The sequence below is a fragment of the Homo sapiens genome, chromosome 15, assembly GCF_000001405.40.
Source record: "Homo sapiens chromosome 15, GRCh38.p14 Primary Assembly".
Taxonomy (NCBI): Eukaryota; Metazoa; Chordata; class Mammalia; order Primates; family Hominidae; genus Homo; species Homo sapiens.
The window spans coordinates 20,447,923-20,467,788 of NC_000015.10; the positions used below are offsets into that span (position 1 = coordinate 20,447,923).

General features: G+C 42.0%; 1 pseudogene across 1 annotated transcript in view; it reads right to left on the reverse strand.

Moving 5' to 3' along the window:
* The window catches only part of HERC2P3 (HERC2 pseudogene 3), a 97,785-nt pseudogene that overhangs the window by 39,527 nt on the left and 38,392 nt on the right, over positions 1-19,866 (reverse strand). Inside the window, exons 3-15 of the transcript NR_036432.1 lie at positions 18,273-18,448; positions 14,909-15,079; positions 14,421-14,524; positions 13,270-13,420; positions 10,311-10,525; positions 9,905-10,037; positions 9,671-9,798; positions 9,383-9,578; positions 6,618-6,751; positions 5,918-6,088; positions 5,698-5,840; positions 5,429-5,580; positions 4,446-4,637 (exon numbers count right to left, since the gene is read on the reverse strand). The product of NR_036432.1 is annotated as an HERC2 pseudogene 3 (transcript). The remainder of the gene's footprint in view (positions 1-4,445; positions 4,638-5,428; positions 5,581-5,697; positions 5,841-5,917; positions 6,089-6,617; positions 6,752-9,382; positions 9,579-9,670; positions 9,799-9,904; positions 10,038-10,310; positions 10,526-13,269; positions 13,421-14,420; positions 14,525-14,908; positions 15,080-18,272; positions 18,449-19,866) is intronic.

Sequence of the window (19,866 nt, forward strand, 5' to 3'; positions counted from 1 at the left end):
AATATATATTTAACATAATACAACATATAAACATAATATATAAATTAAAAAATAATTATATATATATATATATAGAGAGAGAGAGAGACAGACAGACAGACAGATAGATAGAAAGATTCCACCCACCCCCAAGACAGGATTTCACTCTGTCACCAAGGCTGGAGCCCAGGCTGGAGTGCAGTGGCTTGATCTCCGCTCACTGCAACCTCTGCATCCCTGGCTCAAGCAATCCTCCCACCTCAGCCTCCCAGGTAGCTGGGACCACAGGCACACACCACTATGCCCAGCTAATTTTCGTATTTTTTGTAGAGAGAGGGTTTCGCTATGTTGCCCAAGTTGGTCTCAAACTCCTGAGCTCAAGCAATCCACCCGCCTGAGCCTCCCAAAGTGCTACAATTACAGCCTGGCCTGATACATATTTTTGAATGGATTAATGTGAACTCTAAAACTGATGTGATTATAAGAGCTTGGGAAAACCTTGCTTTTTCACTGTGACTTTGACAACTGGCCCTGCAGCATCTCAGTTTTAGCCAAAGAACACCACCATAAACCAATCAGACCTAATAGACATATACAGAACATTTCACCAAAAAGAGCAGAATACACGTTCTTCTCAAGTATACCACAGGACTACTCTCTTAGACTGACCAAACCATATGTTAGGCCACAAAGTCTCAAATTTAAACAGACGAAAATCATACAAGTTACCTTCTCCAACCAAAAGGAAATGATGAGAAATTAATAACAAAAGGAAAAGTGGAAAATTCACAAGTATATGAAAATTAAACAACACATGGTAAACAATCAGTGGGTCAAAGAAGAAATCACAAGGGAAATTAGAAAATACTATGAGATGAATGAAAACACAACACACCAAAACTTCTGTGCTGGGCCAAAAGCAGGGCTAAAAGGGGCAATTATACTATAAAAGTCTGCATTTACAAAAGATGATCTCAAATCAATAACTCTACATCTGGAAGAACTAAAAAAATAAGAACACAATAAAAACCAAAGTTAGGCCAGGTGTCGTGCCTCACACCTGTAATCCCAGCACTTTGGGAGGCTGAGGCAGGTAGATAACTTGAGCCCAGGAGGTTGAGGCTGCAGTGAGCCATGAGTGCGCCACTGTACTTGGGCCTGAGGGACAAAGTAAGACCCTGTCTCAAAACAAAGACAAAAACAAAAACAAAAAAATACAAAGCAGAAAGAAGGAAACGATAGAGATTAGAGCAGCCATAAATTAAATAGAGAATAGAAAAATAATCTACAAAACCAAAAGTTCGGTTTCTGGCAAGAACAAAAAATCTGACAAACTTTTGGTAAATTAAGAAAAAAAGAGGTCAGTCAAGGTGGCTCACGCCTCTAATCCCAGCACTTTGGGAAGCTGAGGTGGGCGGATCACAAGGTCAAGAGATTTAGATCATCCTGGTCAACATGGTGAAACCCCATCTCCACTAAAAATACAAAAAAAATTAGCCAGGCCTGGCGGCAGGCGCCTGTAGTCCCAGCTTACTTGGGAGGCTGAGGCAGGAGAATCACTTGAATCCGGGAGGCGGAGGTTGCAGTGAGCCAAGACTGTGTCACTGCACTCTGGCCTGGCAACAGAGTGAGACTCCATCTCAAAAAAAAAAAAAAAAAAAAAAAAGAAAAAAAAGAGAAAAGATGCAAATAACTAACATCAGAAATGTAAGTGGAGACAGTACTACCAACATAAAAATAAAAAAGATTATAAAAGAACACTGTGAACAACTGTATGCCAACAAATAAAATAGCCTAGATAAAATGGACACATTCCTAGAAACATAAATTACCCAAACTGACTCAAGAAGAAATAGAAAATCTGAATAGAGCCATAACAAGTAAAGAGATTGAATCGGTAATTAAAAATCTTTCAGGCCAGGCGCCGTGGCTCACGCCTGTAATCCCAGCACTTTGGGAGGCCGAGGCGGGTGGATCACGAGGTCAGGAAATCGAGAGCATCCTGGCTAACACAGTGAAACCCCGTCTCTACTAAAAATACAAAAAATTAGCCGGGCGTGGTGGCTGGCGACTATAATCCCAGCTACTCAGGAGGCTAAGGAAGGAGAATGGCGTGAACCCGGGAGGCGGAGCTTGCAGTGGGCCGAGATCACGCCACTGCAGTCCAGCCCGGGCAACAGTGTGAGACTCCGTCTCAAAGAAAAAAAAAAAAAAATCTTTCAACAAAGAAAAGCTTAGGTGGTCAACTCTACCAAACATTTAAAGCTGAACTGACACCAATCCTCAAACTCTTCTAAAAACAGAATATATGGGAACACTACCTAGTTCATTCTATGAGGCCATTATTACCCTGATAACTGTAAAACAATAAAATATTGCTGAAAGAAATTAAAGAGGACAGAAATAAATGGAAAGACATTCCACATTCAGAGAATGGATGTTAACATTGTTAAAATGGCACTATTCCCCAAAACAATCTACAGATTCAATCCCTAGCAAAAATCCCAATGGTCTTTTTTTGCAGATATGGAAAAGCCAGCCTTGAAGTTCATGTGAAAATGCAAGGGACCCAAAGTAGCCAAAATCATCTTGAGAAAGAAAACACACTTCTCAATTTTAAAACAGTACAAAACTACAATGTTCAAAACAGGGCGGTACCTGCACAATTATCAACATATAGAATGTGATAATGTAATTGAGAGTCCAGAAATAAACCTAAATATCCACAGCCAACTGATTTTTGCCAAGGGTACCCAGAACTTCAGGGAAAGAACAGTCCTCAACAAGTGGTATTGAAACAATCAGATCAACAAAAGAAAAAGGCTGGACTCTTACCTCACACTGTGTAAAAGAAATTACCTAAAAATGGACCAAAGATCTAAATATAAGAGCTGAAACTATAAAACTTACAGAAGAAAACATGAGGATAATCTTCATCAACCTTGTGTTTGGAAATGGCTTTTTGGATATGATATCAAAAGCATAGACGACAAAAGAGAAACAGATAAATTGAACTTCATCAAAATAAAAAACTTCTCTATCTAAGGGAATACAATCCAGAGAACAGGAGAAAATACCCTCAAATGATATACCTGATAAAGGTCTACAGATCTGTGAAGGTCTAGTATACACGAACTTTTTAAAGAGTCTGAGGACTGGTGTTAATTCTTCTTTAAAGGTTTGATACACTTATATAGTGCATTTATTGGTACAACAAGATGACGACAAATAACCCTATTTAAAAAGGAGAAAGGGGCTGGGCGCAGTGGCTCACGCCTGTTATCCCAGCACTCTGGGAGGCCAAGGCAGGCAGATCACCTGAGGTCAGGAGTTCCAGACCAGCCTGGCCAACATGGCGAAATCCCATCTCTACTAAAAATACAAAAGTTAGCCAGGTGTGGTGGTGTGTGACTGTAATCCCAGCTACTTGGGAGGCTGAGGCACAAGAAGTGCTTGAACCCGGGAGGCGGAGGTTGCAGTGAGCCGAGATCGTGCCACTGCGCTCCAGCTTGGGCGACAGAGTGAGACTCCGTCTCAAAAAAATAAAATAAAAAATAAAGAGAAAGGGACTTGAATAGACACTTCTCCAAAGAAGATATACAAATGGCCAACAAGCACAAACATGTAAAGAAGCTCAATGTCATTCATCATTAGTGAAATGCAAACCAAAATCACAATGAGATACCACTTCACACCCGCTAGGATGGCCTTAATCCAAAAAAAAAAAGAAAACCACAAAAAATAGTGTTGGCAGGGAAGCAGAGAAACTGGAACCCTGGAATCCTGCCCACTGGTGATGGGAATGTAAAAATGATATGGCACTGTGGAAAACTTTGGTAGTTTCTCAGTAAGTTACACATAGTTGTACCATATGACCCTGTAATTCCAGTCCTAGGTGTATAATCAAAAGAACTAGAAACAAGTGTTCAAACAAGTACTTGTATATAAATGTTCCTAGCAGCACTATTCACAAAAGTCAAAAGGCAAAACCAACCCAAATGTCCATCAACAGATAAATGAGTAAACAAAATGTTATATATTCATACAATGAAATCTTTTTCAGCCATAAAAATAAAGTACTGATATATACCAAATGAAATAACCCAGACACAAAGGCCACAAATGGTATGATTCCATTTATATGAAATATCCGGGATATGCAAATCCATAGACAGAGAAAGCAGATTTGTAACTACCAGGGGCTGGAGAGCAGGGGAGTCAGGACTGATGGCTAAATGGGGTGCATTTATAGTGATGAAAAAGTTCTACAACTAGACAGTGGTGATGACTCTAGAAAATTGTGAATGTATTTAATACCGCTGAATTGCGACGTTAAAATGCTACACTTTCTGCTATTTGTGTCTTACCATAATTTACAAAAAGCTTTTTTTAAAAAAAAGAAAGAAAATAAATCAAAGCAAAATCTTGACGTTTTCCCAAAGGCTCTCAAGCCAGTGCAGACCTACCAATCAGGCGCAGTGCCGTCTGAGCGAGGGCCAGCGTGCCGGAATTGAGCAGGAGGTCAAGGTTGTTTGCGCTGTGCTGCAGGGTGAGCATGCTGAGCATCACCAGGAGGAAGTGGGCTTGCGGGATGGTCCCCAAGCTCGGTCCCGATGGGTTCTCATTGGTGATGGTTTGCAGGGGAACCGGCTGGATACCTAGTGAGCATTGGCACCCACTGACATTTCTTGTAATGGATACAAGAATAAATGTAATGCAGAAAGCACGGGCAATTACTCTAAACATCTGACTAATAAGCACTGACACCCACTGACATTTCTTGTGCGTGGATACAAGAATAAACGTAACGCAGAAAGCATGGGCAATTACTCTAATCATCTGACTATTTTGACACCCACTGACATTTCTCTCGCATGGATACAAGCATAAACGTAATGCAGAAGGCACGGGCGATTACTCTAAACATCTGACTATTTTTCAGTGGTTTCCACAGAGTGGGCAGCTCTGTCATGCTGCACGATGGGCCTACCCCCTGCATTCTATGCACAGGTCGTTCCATCTGTCTACAGGACTTAGTATGTTGCTCTCTGAATACACCGGTGCCCTATTCCATTCCTTCCATTTCAAATATAAAAGTTATGTCTCACTTTTCCTCCACAAAACCAATCCAATCAACTCTCTGTAGATGCTCAAACTATCCAGGAAATAAATATCAATATAGGACACAGACACTTTAGGATATGTGGTGATACACATAAAAATGTCAAAATGTAAAAATGTTATACTAGAGTACTTCAACATTGTGTCTCCTGCTAAATTTTAAAGTTTTGTTTAAAATCTGAGAAAGCTGACAGCAGCATAGACTATACAAGTACAAAGTACAAACTTATTAAAGTCTTCTCAAAAGCAAAAATTGGCATTTGCAAGTTTCCACAACATATAATTAAAGGCAAACTATAAAATAACATTGATACAATTATTGACTCACCAAGCTCTTTAAATTTGGCACTGGCATCCACCAAAACATTTCGAATGTTCTGAACAGCCCAAGCGTACAGCTTGCCAAAGGTGACTTCCAGCAGCATCCGATTAAAAGGCGGGATCAAATCAACATCCTTTAAACAATCAGTAAGAGGTTCCCTTTCAAATAAAGATAAAGAATTTGACTCGGGACACTGCCAGACTTCTAACTGTTACAGAAAAACATTCTGTTGCCACAGCTTCCTTAATTAAGAAAAAAATATGCTAACATTTTACCCTATATCGATTCCCTCAGGAATAAGTCTTTGCCATCCACAAAACATCGCATACGGCACAGATGGAAGTAAGAAATTCTTGCTCACCAGATACAATTTTAAAATTGTATCTATCCCTTCCAGGCGAACCTCTGCTCTCTCCAACTGCAAAATATCAATGCATACAGTTAAGTGTTATGTATATTACCCAATGCAGAGAAGCATTTCTCATCAAATGTTACCTGTTTTAGTAGGCACTTTCTCTTTTCCACATCCACTGGCTCTTCTTTAAGGGCAAATTCAGCAATTGTACTGAGGAGTGGAGACTGCGGATAAAGACCCTGCACATTCTGCTTCAACCACTTGTATTTGTGAACACCTGTAACAGTACTCAACAGCGGCTGCCATTTGTCCTAACAAAGGAAAACAATTTTCATCATTAGTCTACCCTATTTAATAATAAACTGTGCTCTAAAAGTTATTCAAGTAAAATATAAATAATGCTTATGGGTTTAAATTGGTTAAAATACGTTAAATTTAGTAATACATGTTTTTAAAACTATGCTATAAATATAAGTGAATTTATAATCTCTATACTATATGTTGGAACAGGCTAGCTTGGCATACTAAGTTAAGTTATGGTTCATATTAACAGCCACAGGGCCCAGCACTGTTTCTGGAACAAAGAATATATTTAAGGAATGAATGGTGAATAATTAATGATACAATCTAATACCAAAAATAAAAGGAAACCCTTCTCCAGCTACAGCTCTGACCAGGACATCATAAGTCAAGTTCATGAAGCATCACTGGGGCCGTATTTCTAACAACCGCCCGTCCCTCCCTCCAGATGCTCAGGTACAGAGGTACAAGACTGTGGATTCCTGTGCTACATGCTACGATTCTATTCAGCCAACCTCAGAATCACAGAAAATACCGCACCTTGGGTGATTTAATTGCAATGGGTCTCTTGTCCACATTTATTGGACTATGAGGCAAAATGCAAGCTTCTTCTAAATCACTCTCTTCGTTTCCAATTTTTTCTTCATCATCCGTAGATTCTGGCTTCTTAGGAACTGTGTTTTAAAACATCATTCACTATAAAAATCATACACTTAAATATTAATTTTAAATTAAGACATATTTAGATTTACATGAAGGACAAATATTTCATTCAAATAAACATCTGAACAACATTATAAATTGCAATGCTCAACAACAAGAGTGAAATGATCACCCTGGCAGAACAAAAAGACAAAGTGAGAGTGCGACGAGGGGAGAAGCCCCGAAGCAGGGGAAGCCCGGCAGCCAGCAAGCTCTTCCTCAAGTGCCAGAGAGTGAACATTTGAGTCTTTCAGGCCATGCTGTCTGTCGCAAATACTCAACTCTGCTGCTGTAGCACAAAAAGTAACCACAGATAAAGCAACAGGTGTGGCTGTGCTCCTGTAAAACTTTATTTATGGTGCTACAATTTTAGCTTCATGTAATTTTCATGTGCCAAAATAATATACTTCTTTTAATTTTTAAATAACAATTTCAAACTGGAAAAAAAAAAAAAGGTCTTAGTCCATGGGCAACCCAAAGCCAGCAAGAGGTAGAATTTGGCCCATAGTTCCTGGCTTGTCCACCCTGGTCCAGTTCAGTGGTTCTGTTACTGTGTAACTGAATCAACTGAATTCACTGTGATATGTGGAATCTCCTCCCTATACTTTATCTCTTTTAAAATTTTTGGTCTAAGTCTCCTCAGCATATAATATAAAAAATAAGCAACATGATAATACATCTGGGCAGTAAAGAGCTAACATAGCAGGCCGGGGTTGCTCAAACCCTGCAAATTCCCAAGGAAGGTCTGTCCCTTCAGGATTGGTCCTTCTTCTAGGAGCTGAGCTCTGAGCCCTTGGAACATCCTGCCTGAGAAGTTTTTTGGTATACCTGACACCCAGGACCTTGTGGCAGTGGTCTGGCCAGGTAGTTTATGCTAATGATGGGACTTGCGAGGGACCACTTGTTTTTGCACTGGGGCACTGGAGCCTGAGTGAGGTCAGTCACAGGGGCACTGCCTGCGTATGTGACTGGCCCCCAACAAAATCTCTAGACTCGAGGCTCAGGTGCGCTGGCCTGGTTAACAATTCTTCACACATGATGTGACACTATTGCTGGGAGAGCTAAGCACATCCACGTGATGCCACTGGGGAGAGACACCAAAGCGTGTGCCTAGTTTCCTCTGGACTTCCCTCCATGCACCCTTCCCTCTGCTAATTTTAATCTGTATCCTTTTTGCAGTAAAAACACAGCTGTGACTATAACAGCTCTTCTGAGTCCTTTTAGTGAATCATCAAGCCTGAGAGAAGGCTCGGGGATCCCTGACACAGCAACAGGAATATTAATCACTTAATCTTTTCAAGTTACTTAATTTCCAAAAAAAAAAGAAAACCAGCTTGAAACACCACACGATAAATCTATAAACCCACAAGAAACTCTAAAAGTGACAGTGTGGGCTCAGAACCCACGGATATGAGATGGCAAATGTGGAGTCTCTCTCCCTCATTCCGAGGCAGCCTGTCTCCTGGGCCCAGGCTGAGTTCCTGCATGCCTGGGTTAAAGGAATCGCAGCAGTGTGACTGCTGTGACTTCCTGATCCAGAGCACCCCTCGCATTCAGACAGGCTGTTATGGTGTAGGGTTTGTTCAGGAACAATCAAATTAGGATGGCTTCTAACACACTTTAGTCTTTCATAAGCTTATTGTTCAAAATGCCCATCAGAAAGTCAGTAATCAATACTGTTCAATAAGCAGGTTTGTGAGTAAATCAGTATAAGTCATAATATGATCAGAGGCCAGGCGCGGTGGCTCACGCCCGTAATCCCAGCACTTTGGGAGGCCGAGGCAGGCAGATCACGAGGTCAGGAGATCAAGACCATCTTGGCCAACATGGTGAAACTCCGTCTCTACTAAAATATAAAAATTAGCCAGGAGTGGTGGCGCGTGCCTGTAATCCCAGCTACTTGGAAGGCTGAGGCAGGGGAATCGTTTGAACCTGGGAGGCGGAGGTTGCAGTGAGCTGAGATCGCACCACTGCACTCCAGCCTGGCAACAGACCAAGACTCCATCTCAAAGAAAAAAAAAAAAGGATATAATCAGAAATTTCTGTAGTTTATTTATAATCACAAGTGACTAAATTCTAAACTATTTTATAATTTCTAAGCATTTTTATTCAAATTTGGATTTAATGCAAAAAGACTTTTCTGTACCCTTACACAGCTACTTCCAGGAAAATGTCAGTAACTCTTTTAGCTTCCCTTTATAGTTCTTCATGTATCAGAATACTCAATATTTCCAAACAAAAAACATTTCTTTAGAAGAATGGCAATAAGTTTAAATGTTCCCATTATATCTCATTACCAGGATAACTAATAAAAGTACTTCCTTGTTCCCATCAATTTAGCAAAGATTATTTACGTTTTCAACATCAATTTACTAGTAATCAAATCATACCACACTCAATTCCTAAACTGCCTCATTGTCTGATCATTTGGAAAAATAAGCGAGATGTCTGTATTTAATCCTAACTATAATAAAAATGATGGCAGCAGGTAGAAATGTTACATGGAATCAACAGTAGAGAAACTTCACTCTGAAATCACAGATCCAACGTGGCAGGGTGAAGCACAAGCTTTAATAGTATCTTCTGTCCTTTTACATTCTTACCTCTCTTTTTCCTTGGTTCTCGAATTATCTTCTGAGCTATCCTCCTCCAATGGGGCAAAGAACTTAACAATTTAAACTTAGACATTATAGAGAGGTCATTACAAACAGCAGGTCTCAATTCATTAAAGAGGAATCTCAAACGTTCGATGACAGGAGCGCAGACCTCCTTGTAAGAACGGCCCTGTTCTTGATGAGTCTGCAAAGTTAACCAGGAAAAGACAACTTTAACAACAAATATTTCAGCAACTGTCTGCAAAGCACAGAATAAAAAGAATTAAAATCTATCACCTTAATGAGCGAACATTTTGCTTGGTAGACAACTCTACAAACATCCACCACTGACTTAGGCAACGTTCTGTGCTTTACTTGCTCAATACCAAGTGCACCTGCATGAACTAAAGATAATGCCACATGACCTGTAAAAAGACATTTAAAAGAAGGGCAGTGAAGGAATGAATACGTACCACAGGTTAGTCGAGGAATCGCAGTGTAGCTAAAGTACAAAGATATTGAGCTCCTTACCTAAATCTTCATGTTTTAAGAGGCAACATAACAGCAAGCGACCGACCTCTTCCACGGGATGCTCGGGGGGAAACATGATCGGTGTGGTCAAATGGCACTGCCTACAGTACCTTTCTATTTGACACAAAAAGTCCTGCAACAGGAACAGCTGGAAGTAACTTCAGGGAAACCCAGTGAGTCTTCACAAATCTTAAACATGCCACAGCTTCTGACACACTTGCAATCACTAATGCTTCTGAAGCCTCGCTAGCATGTTAACACAATCAGGTTCTCACCTCAAAACCCTCCAAATAATACATGAAACAAAGTCTGTGCTGTGTTAACCAAAGAGCACATAAGTATTCCTATGTCAAAGTCCTCAGATAAACAGAGCACTGAGGTGGCAGTGGGGGCAGGCCTAGCTCACCTTCACGTTGTGATCCTGAATGTTGTTGTCTGCAATGGCTTGCAGAAATGCCTGGGAATGGTCCCCCAGGGCCCGTCTGTGGGAGCAGAGTCGAGATTTGCTGGCAGGTGTGCCCCCTGGGGAGCTGCAGTGGTCCTCGTCTTTCTCCTCGTTGTAGCTGTAGTGGATCTGGCTGGTCTGCAGGCCTCCAGAGAAGATGGATGACTGAAGCCATTCTAGAAAATGCACACGCAAACATGAAAGAGAAACTCAAGTGCACAACTCAAAATAAATACTAAAAAAAAAAAAAGATGCTCAACTGAACACTCAATTTAGAAGGTGAAATTCAGCATCATTCATATGAAAGAGCTCCACCTAACATGTTTACACAGGTTGACTTATAATTCCTCTATCTACGTGAACACACTTTCTGGTGATTCCACACGCCTCAGGCATGGCATCAGAACTCAGGATCGTAGTTCCAGTCCAACATTCTCTGGATACCTGTGCTCTGCCTGCAGCTGCCTGGTTCCACAGGTACCGTGTGAAGACTGAGGTGCACATTCTAACAGGGAAGGCAGCAAAGGGCACCGCTGACACAATTAATCACAGGATTTCAAGTCCAAAACTGTGCAACAGATGACTATGGGGGTACCAGGGAGACTGGAAGACAGACCACCGCTATTCTGAGGGTCAGTGAGGGACTTGTGGAAGCAACAACTGAGCTAAGATGAGGAATAAGACCCAGACGCTGAGTATCCAGGCAGGGAACAGCACATCTGAAGGGTTTCTACAAAGAATTACATCCTCAGGGTAGGCTATGTATTCCTAGAGCACTTATAAAGGAATGAAAAGGAGAAAATATTTAAGAAACACACAATCTGTAATGAAGGATAGATCCTTGGAGATGGGAGGGCCGATGGACTGGAAAGGAGACCTGTGCGTGGTGCAAGGCATGGGATCAACCAGTGCGAATGTTAATTACAACTGCTTATGGCAACTTGAGGGAGTGCACCACTACAGATCTCTATTAACGATCTGTGTTATCAAATACTGCTCCAAATCCAAGCAATCAAAGCGGGATGCACTTAGTGTTCTTTTACTGGACATTTAGATTTTAGAGCACTCAGGAGCATTCCCCAACACACCACATTCGTTCTTCTGAAACACTAATCCAATGCCGACTCTCTCTGGCCCCCTCTCTTTAAGCACAGGACAGCCCCTCCTTACTGCTCCAAGATAAGCCTCTGATCCTCCTGTGGATCGGACCCACCTGCCAGGGCCCATGGCACCCTCTGCCCTGGAGTTCGCCAGCCCTGCCCTCCTTGCCAATTTAAACAAAGCCCATCTTCTGGCAAGCAATGAGCCTTGAGGAGGAGGGAAGGAAGCAGACACCTCAGAGGGCACCACAGGCAGCCCAGCACCTAGCACTGCACAAAGGTCCGCCCAACGGGGGGCTGTATGGACACCAAGATCCTCCTTCCCTGCAAGCCTCTGCCACACCCACTCCTGCAAGCAGCAGGAAAGCCCTGCTCCTCTCAGCAGTGCCCTTGACACTCCTGTGTTTTCTGCCCAGAATGCTCTCTCACGCAATTTCAGGACTGCTGCCAATGTGAAGCCTTTCTTCTCCCAGAACCATGTATGAACATCTCCATTTCACCATTCACCACCTTGTAATGTGACCTGCTTAGAATGGTGGCTCATCAACAAGCAGCAGCTGAAAGCAGAGGCGTGTCCTACCCATCACTGCATCCTGAACACCTCGCATGGTAACGGCACCAGAAAGCAGAGGTGTGTCCTATCTATCACTGTATCCTGAACACCTCGTATGGTAACGGCACCAGGCAAATGCTCAACAGAAGCTGCTCACATGGATGGACAGACAGACAGATGGGAAATGCACAACTACATGAAGGAAAATGGAAACACATCTTAGGAGACAGAAAGAAGCTTATTATTTTAGGTGGTTACAAAGGCTGCCATCCTGAAATATAACTGACTTGAGCCTGGTCTGGTAAAAACGCAGTGCTCAAATAGTATGCTCTTCCCTGAGAGGACAGCTGATCCACATTCTGTGCAATTTCTGGGCATGCAGGGAGACAAAAGCCATGCTGGGCCCATCAGGCAGAGGCTGCAATACGTGAGACCACCAAGGGCAGACGGGTAGACATTCCTGCACACTTTTTAGCTTCCTCTGCAGCAACAGACCATGAGGGCAAATGACAACCACTCACAGCTGTTTCTACCTGATTGAGTCTCACTATCCTTATTATTTTTTTTTTTGTCATCATCAACTGTGTTGAATCCTCCTCTCCTTTTTTTTTTTGAGACCGAGTCTCGCTCTTGTCACCCAGGCTGGAGTGCAGTGGCGTGATCTCAGCTCACTGCAACCTCCGTCTCCTGGGTTCAAGCAATTCTCCTACCTCAGCCTCCCGAGTACCTAGGATTACAGGCACCCGTCACCACACCCAGCTAATTTTTGCATTTTTAGTAGACATGGGGTTTCACCACATTGGCCAGGCTGGTCTTGAACTCCTGACCTCAGGTGATCCACCCGCCGCAGCCTCCCAAAGTGCTGGGATTACAGGCATGAGCCACTGCCTGGCCATCTCCTGCTTTTTTAAAGAGAGTCTTGCTCTGTCACCCAGGCTGGAGTGCAGTGGTATGATCATGACTCACTGCAGCCTCAACCTCCCAGGCTCAAGCAATCCTCCTACCTCAGCCTCCTGAGTATCTGGGACTACAAATACGTGCCAACATGCCTGGCTAATTTTTGTGTTTTTTGTAGAGATGGGGTTTTGCCATGTTGCCCAGGCTGGTCTCAAAATCTTGATCTCAAGCAATCCACGTGCCACAACCTCCCAAAGTGCTGGGATTACAGGCATGAACCACTGTGCCTGGCCCTCTCCCACTCTTAATGGCACTTACAGTTCAAAAAAAAAAAAATCTGCTAATTAGCAAAAAGTAAAGATTTTCTTACTGGCACATTCAATCTCGACAGGAGACAGCGGTGTGCTCATTGCTAAATAGGAAGCGTGTAATCCGAGAAGCAGGCCCAGATTCCTCTCTGTGTCTATCAGAGGTGAGGAGAGACTCCCCAGATCTGGTATGGTGACGCCTTCTTGGTCAGGCTGGAAAAATAAATTTAATCATCAATCTGAGGAAACAGAATTAATTAAAAACATAAAACCAAAAGGACAGCTCTCTCCTGCAGCTGTACCGCACGTGAGCCCAGGGGTGCTCTGGGCGTTCTGCCCCTCCATCCTGTAATGAGTTGGTGCTGCTGTGCCCAAGTAACAGCAGATACCATATAAACCCACATGCCCTATAAAGCAGGCAGCAACCGCACAGCCCTACTGTAGAAAAACTAAACCACAGATACATGATTTGGCTAGAATATTCCTTAGGAATCAGTTTCCAAAGTGACTGTACACCATGCTTCAGAAAGTATAATGAATTGTTACATGCATAAAGAACCCACTGGGCAACAAAACTATGACAAGTATTCGATGACAAGTATTAGTGGACTGTGACCACACATGTAGAGGAAATGAAATTTATTCTAACAAAAATCAAACTCTGAAAAAAGCAAGAGTTCAACTTTTTCAGTCACAGAAGATATTTACAGCAAAGTTAATTCTCCCCTTCATAAACTGTTTTAAGCCCTGCCCTAATGGCATTTAATACATCTTATTACTTGTCGATACCTAGTAAGCTAATCCCAATATATAAATTCTATGTGTTCGTGAATACATAGGAAGGACATATTTCTATTGTAAAGAATTACACTTCTACATAGTTCTTCCCAAAAAATACATACCTCAAGATTATAAGCCATTCCAAATTTCTACATAAGACCAAAGTTTAACCTCTTTTCTTGTGGAACACTGCCTATATTTCTCACAAATTGATCATTTAAAAAACAATCTTTCAAGACCAGTACATCACAGATCTTAACATGAATAAATGTAAATTCATTTATGACAAAACTTCTAAAGGATCTTTATATTTATCCCTAATGCCCCGCAAAAGACCCAGATATCAGTACTTCTAGATCCAAATATTCCTATCACAAACACACAGAGGGTATCCCCTGCCATCCTCTGCATCACTCAAGGCATACAGCCTCACCTCCAAATACTGGCCAACACAAAATGCGTGCATGGATTCCCGGGTGTCTTCAAACTGCAAAGCAGCTTCCAAAGCTACCACTGGGTCTTCCCCTGCAAACTGAGCTGAAACAAAAAGGGAAAAAGCAACATGAGTTCAATTCAGCTTGCCTGAAGAGCTACAGGAGAAATAGTGAGTAGGAAATAAGTTAGGCTCTTAACTCAAAAGTGAGGGTTACCAGAATATAATGACCTCCCACTGTCTCCCAGGGTTGCCTGGGCCAACTCGGAACTTGAAATGAGTTCCAAGTATTAAAACAAAAGATACATAATGAAAGGAAATTCTTCGAATGTGCTGAATTTGTTGATAAGACAGACACCAAAGCCACAGATACATTAAAATATGCGGGGGCTGGCACAAAACTAAAGGAATCATTTATAAGCCAAATACTCTGCTTAAAATGATACAGGCTGTAACTTTTAACCAGGAAATAACAAGTGTAATCTTACCAAGAATACTATTTTCTGTTAACGACTGTGTCTGGAAGTCCTTTATATCATACACTTTCCCGTCAATCACAGTCCAGAAGCCTCCATCGTTATTATGGTTCTCCAAATCAGCTATGCGTACAAGTGTCACTTTCTCATTATTTCTACAGTTCTGACCTGTAAAAAATGACTCTGTATATACAGAAACCAGAATCAGTCCATTGATCAATCAACAGGTAAAATGAAAAGAACAAACTGTGTGAAAGAACTACAAGCAGAAATAAACAAATCCACAATCACAATGGGAGAAATACATACCTAGCTCTGAAACTAATACCACACATACAAATTCTGTTAAATATAGAATGCTTTAAAAAAAAGTCTAGGCAGCATGAATACCAAATCGGGCCATGCCAGGCCATAGAGTAAATCTCAACAGATTTCAAAGAAATAAACTTACAGAGCATGTGTGCTGACTACAATGCAGTTAAATTACAAATAGGTTTTCAAAAATTCATTCAAAATAAAATAAAAATGACTCTGTATACACAGAAAATAAAAATATTCATCCACATATTTGAAAATTACAAGATACACTTATAAGTAACCCAAAATTCTAAGAAAAAATGACTATGAAAATTAGAAAATGTGTTCAGTTAATAATCAAAATACTGCAGATCGAAATTGGTGACATACAACTAAATGCATGCTTGAGGGCATTTATGCCTTTAAATGTATATATTTACACATTAAAGGGGGAAAAAGCTAAAAAAGAAAAGAAACACCAAATCAATAAAAGTCTGTTAGTTCATAAAAATACTCAAAAAAAAGAAAACCTGAGTGGTGGTCACCTATGCAAGTGCTAGGATACCAACTCAATATTATGAAAAATAGTTAAAGGGAGGTGGCAGTTCAAGAAGTCAAGCTTAGATTATGTCCTTGCTGTACAAATTGTACCTCCTGCTAACCAGACAGCAGAGGGCAAGGTTGGTAGGGGATTTTATAGAGGATACGCAACACATGAATTCCCTGGTCTAGCTTCACAGAACTAAAGCGGGGAGCCACCGAGCATTACAGGCCTCCTGAGCCAACAGAAAGCATGCAGCATGACCCCAGACATAACACCGCCCCAACGAGACTGAATTCAAATCCAACCAAACCTCTAGATCTAACCAGCAGATTAATGTAACTAACAGAAGAACATGTTGGTCTAGAATAAGAGAATGCAATCAACCAAGTTCAGAAAATGTGAAGTTCTCCAAAATAACCAACCTGCTTCTTTGAAAAAGAAAACGGTATGATCAGAGACAGGGAGAAGAGGGCCTGGAGCCATGTTGTTTGGGGAAAGAGACTAGAAGCATATGTCAAGCAATGCCAATACGCAGAACATGCTCAGGTCTTAATTCAAAATTACCACCTAAAAAAGGCATTTTTGAGATAGTCCAGGAAAATGTAACATGGACTGCATGTTAGATTAAGGAATCACTGTTAATCTTATAGACAGGATAATGATATTGTAGGGTTTTTTTAAAATCCTTATCATTAAGAGGTAAAATACCTTAAAATGTTTTAAAGACAGAGTTATGCTTTAAAATAATCCAATCAGCCGGGCGCGGTGGCTCATGCCTATAATCCCAGCACTTTGGGAGGCCGAGGCGGGCAGATCATGAAGTCAGGAGATCGAGACCATCCTGGCTAACACAGTGAAACCCCATCTCGTACCATGCCATATTACTGCATTTAACAGGTATGATGAAGCAACTGAACAGGCTATTTTTCCATTTCCATTGCATTTCAACAGAGCCCATTAAAAAGTAGTATAAATGGCCCTTAAATACTAATATATTTTAAAATGCTCAAACTATGTCGGGGTCACCACTTTGTGCTTTAGCAGGCAAAATCCCAAAAGCCCACACACAAGGCTGGGAGACCAGCATCCCTATTGGTGGTGAGAGAAATCAAGATGTACAGGAGCAATCTGGTGACAACCAGCCCACACGAGGTCCATCCCCACCTGTGCATGTGCACAGGCACACACGCGTGCACACATGGAGGACACGTGTTCCAGGCCAGGCCTTGCAGTACTATTTGTGTTTTCTGTTGTTGTTGTTTGAGATGGAGTTTCACTCTTGTTGCCCAGCCTGGAGTGCAGTGGCGCGATCTCGGCTCACTGCAACCTCTGCCTCCCAGGTTCAAGCGATTCTCCTGCCTCAGCCTCCCAAGTAGCTGGGATTACAGGCACCCGTCACCACGCCCCGCTAATTTTTGTATTTTTTAGTAGAGACGGGGTTTCTCCAAGTTGGCCAGGCTGATCTCAAACTCCCAACCTCAGGTGATCCACCCACCTCGACCTCCCAAAGTGCTGGGATTACAGGCGTGAGCCACTACACCCGACCCTCAGCACTATTTGTATAGCAACATTGTGGCAATAAGCCCAAGTGTCCACCAATAAGAGACTCACTAAAGAAAGATAGATAAAAGACACATCCACACACTGAAGACTAAGCTGATTTATAAAAACAAAGAGGGACACTCTGATAAGGTACTCCAGTATATATGGTTAGTTAAAAAAAAAAACAAAAAACAAGCAACACAAGTAATGAAGCATGCTACCATGAACGTACTCATGCCAGAGAACAAGGAGGTTACAGAGGAGACTGGAAAGTCAGAGGGAGCAGGTGGGAAAATGGGTGGAAGGGGTGGGCAGGGGAAGCGACAGTGTGTCTCTGCCTAGGTTTGATTTTTGAACCATGTGACTGTATTTTTTTTTTTAATGACTGTAAAACAAAATAAATACTCTTTATACTAGAAATAAAATGTTAGAAAAATCTGGATTCAAAACTAGGATTACTGTTCTGCACTGGCAAAGTTCACTACCATTCCCAAAGGCAGTTTTCTCATTGACATAATGAGATACAACAGCGTGCATGAGGTCCTCAGCGGGCCTGCACCCTACAGGTGCTCCACACATGCAAATCACTACCATTACTATTACATAAGAGATATAATACATAATTATACTGTCACTACTATAACCAGCATGACATACTAAGACAGCCTGCGTTCAGAGTATGAAGAAGGCTGTGGAACCCCCTGCAGAAGGTGGGAGGGCCTGGGGCTGTGGATAAAGGGGAGCTCTCTGGGGCTGTGCCACCTGAACCTGGAACCCGGGCCCCCAGGTTGGGTCGCCAGGCCTGTGCGCCTCAGCTTGCTCATCACTCACTCTCAACACGGATAACACCTTCAACTGCAAACACGTTTAAAAACCACAGGCCAGCTCCCCCTACCAATACCAGAAAAAACAAGTCTCCACACGGGCCCAGGATGAGAACCTACAAGTGGTACTAGCTACAAAACACATGGAGAACACGGTTCTTGCACACACCTTATGAGACGTCGGAGAGCTACACAGAGGAGGCATCTACAGGGTGTAGCCAGACGGTCTAAATGGGCCATGACAACAACCGCCGTTTGTTGCAGATCAATGGCAAGCCTGTTGTCTTGTGGAAGGGTGAGGTACCTCAGGAAACTCTCACTGGGGCTCAGAGGACCAGACAAAAGCTAGAAAGGAAAAGTAAACAAAAATTCAGAAATGGTGGGAAAAACTAAAGTAACACAGTTTTTTACCCACGCTTTATATTTTGGTATTGACTCATTTGACCCATCAAATGACAATGTTGATGATACAGTTATACTATACGTCTATATATTTATGCAGCATATAAACTGTATAAATCTCTAAATCTGCTGTATACATGTACACAACATTGACTGTGCATGTATACATTTATGATACCATAGGTAAGTTGAATCCACACAGATTACTAACATGACCAAACCACTCTACAAGCCTAGGACCCCTGGAGAAAGGCAGAACCACCTCTGTGGGAACCCAGCACAGCATCTCAAGCTGGCCTTGAAATCTAAAACCAAAACCTTTATTTTAATCTAAATGTTGCCCACTCTGGAGAACACCTACTTTCATTTGCAAATTAAATCACAGTTCTAATTCTTCTAAAGGCAGAAGACCCCTATTATCATTAGTTTAAAGACTGCCAAATAATAGGCTGGGCATGGTGGCTCACATCTGTAATCCCAGCACTTTGGGAGGCCGAGGCAGGCAGATCACAAGGTTAGGACTTTGAGACCACCCTGGCCAACATGGTGAAACCTCATCTCTATTAAAAATATAAAACTGAGCTGGGCATGGTGGCGGGTACCTATAATCCCAGCTACTCGAGAGGCTCAGACAGGAGAATCATTCGAACTAGGGAGGCGGCAGTTGCAGTGAGCCGAGAACGTGCACTGCACTCCAGCCTGGGAAACAGGCAGAGACTCCGAAGACGGGAAGGGACGGGATGGGACGGGATAGGACAGGACGGGATGGGATAGGACGGGACGGGAAGGGAGAAAGAAAGCAATGTACCCGCAAAACAAACAAACAAACAAAAAAACAGTCTCGGGGACCTATGGGACTATAACAACTCCGGTCACTGAACTCACGAAGGGACAGGAGAAAGAAGGTGGGGCTGAAACTGTACTCTATGAAGTGATGGCTTACAAGTTCCCAAATTTGGCAAGAGACATAAATCTACAGATCTAAGGTAAGCAAACCCTAAACAGGATGAACCCAAAGAAATCCAAACTAAGACATATAATAATCAAACTCCAAAAAACAAAAGACAAAACATTTCAAAAGCCACTAAACAAAAACAGTGCCTTAACTATCGTAGATTAACAAGTCAAATGACAGCGAATTTCTCATCAGAAACCATGGAGCCCAGCTGAAAGTACAAAATATTTTTCAAGCGATGAAAAGAACCATTAACCCAGAATTCTTATATCCAGCAAAAATGTCCTTCAGGAATGAAAAGGAAAGCAAAACATTCTCAGAGGAAGTGAAACAGAATTTGTCACCAGAAGACCCACACCAAAAGAAAGGCTAATGGAAGTTCTCTAAGCAGAATGGCAACCATCAA